Genomic DNA, 2444 nt, shown 5'->3' on the forward strand with positions numbered 1-2444 from the left:
CCACCATCTATCAAAAAGCCTAAGTGTCATCCTTGATTTAACTGTTTCCCATCCAGCAAATGCTATTAATCTTATCTTCAAAATATGTTAAATATTTTCACTTCTCTTCATTCCGTAGCTACCACTCCCATAAAAGCTGCCACCACCTCTTGCCTGAACTCCTTCAGCAGCCTTGTAACTGGTCTTGCTTTTATTCTTGCCATTAGTCTGTTATCAATACAGAGAACATTTAGAAATACAGGTCCATCATTAAAGGCACCTGCTCAAAACTCTTTTCATTGTACTTAGAATAGAATCAAATGTAATAACTGTTGCCAAGGCTCTATGCCATATGGCCCTGTCTACCTCTCCCCATCATCTTCTGAGTTTCTTTTACTTCAGCCCAGCTGACTAGTCTTCTTTTGACATTGAAAACATTCCAAAGCCCTTGCTCATTTCTGTTCCTAAACATGCAAGATATTTCCAGCATTTGGGTTTTTTTTGGTGTAGCCTCTGCCTAAAAAGCTCTCTTCATCTTTAAAAAAAAAAAAAGTACTTGTTTTAATAGTGGCTGATTCTTTTTTTAACCCTTTAGTAAATCTCCTTTAGGATTTACTAAATCCTAAAGGAGATTTAGAATCATTGACATTAGAATCCTTGGTTATTTTGATTTCCTTTGTATCAAAATTTCCTAAAATAAGGTCTGGTACATAGTAGAAAAATAAAAAAATTTATATTAAATAAATGAATTCTCTAATCTAAACATAGGAAATCAGTTGGTAATGTCTACTATTAATGAAAAAACTTGGACTCAGTGAGGTTAAGTACTTTCTTAAGGCAATAAAATTTTAAGCATAGAGCCAAGATTCAAAATCTAAACTCATTAAATAGAATATATGTCATTGGGGGAAAACAGAAGGTAATTAGCAAGTTCTTTTTCTTTAGTCAGATTAAAATTCACAGAGGTCCCCTATAGCATCTTAATACAAATTTATGGACAAAAGAAAACTCTTGTAACTAATTATAACTACTATTCATTTATTATGTATTTATGGGCCAGAGTCTCTGCTAATTCATTTATATACTTTTCTACAAGTCTATGTTTTCATCTTATAGGGAAGAGAATATAGTTAATTAATTTGTGAAGGTAATTTATTAGTATTCTCCAGAACCAGGTTTTTGTTTTTTGTTTTTTTGCTGTATTTTGAGATAAGGTCTCACTCTGTTGCCCTGCCTGGAGTGCGGTGGTGTGGTCACAGCTCACTGCATTTTCAAACTACTGGGCTCAAGCAATCCTCAGACCAAGGCTCTGTTTCAGCCTCCTGAGTAGGCAGGACTACAAGCATTTGCCATTATGCCCAGTTAATTCTGTTATATTTTTATTTTTTTGTAAAGACAGGGTCTCACTATGTTGCCCAGGCTCAGACCCAGGATTCTAACAAAGGCCTGCTTGACTCCAAAGCCCTTGCATATAACCACCATACTAGTCTGCCTTTTTTTACTTAAGAGTCAAGAGCTAGATAAGATTATACCCTTGGCCCGGTGTGGTGGCTTACACCTGTAATCCCAGCACTTTGGAAGGTCAAGGTGGGAGGATCACTTGAGCACAGGAGTTTGAGACCAGCGTGGGCAACATAGTAGGAACCCATCTTTATAAAAAATAAGTCTCTCTTGCTAAGGTTGCTGGGATTCATTTATTCATAAAGATGCTCTCTCACTGTCTCTTGAAGTCCAGTATCAGCTTATTTAAAATACATATGGTATGGTTAAAAGCGTTGCAATATAGAACCAGTTGTGGTATTGTTGCAACTCCTGTAGTTCAGCAAGTAGGAGGGAGGGTTGCAACTCTTTTTACTCCCACCACCCACAGCTCAGTGAATGGGAGGATTATAGCCGGTTTATTTCCATCACCCACAGCTCAGCAAACATGAGGGTTAGAGCTTTTTTGCTCCCGCTGACCTCAGCTTGGCAAGTTCTGCATTCCTATTCCATGGCCAACAGGAATAAGGTACGTGGACACTGGAGAGTGAGTAAGGTAGAGAAGAATTTTATTGAGCAACAGAAGGAAAGCTCTCAGCTGTGAAAGGGGACCCCAAAAGTGGGTTGCCCTCTGTGAGGCTGACTCTGGGGTTTTTATGGGCTTAGAATGGGGGAGTGCATGCTGATTGGTCCATGGGTGGTCTTGGAAAAAGCAGCATTTGATTGGTTAAAAGGCATCATCCAGAAGGAACCAGTCCAGAGAGAGTGAGTAAGATGGGGATAGACGTTCTCACTCTGGTCGTGGACTCTATGTGGAACAAGCAGCTTGTTCCTCAGGTTGAAGGTTGATCCTTACTTGTGACCAGCCCCTGTCTGCATAGGAATTTTTCTGTCTCCTATTGCTATCAGTATTAGGCTGGAAAATAGGGACACATAATGTGAATCCTGAGGTCATTCCACATTTTCTCTGGCTTGAACTCACTATT

Source organism: Homo sapiens, chromosome 7 (genome assembly GCF_000001405.40).
Source record: "Homo sapiens chromosome 7, GRCh38.p14 Primary Assembly".
Classification (NCBI taxonomy): domain Eukaryota; kingdom Metazoa; phylum Chordata; class Mammalia; order Primates; family Hominidae; genus Homo; species Homo sapiens.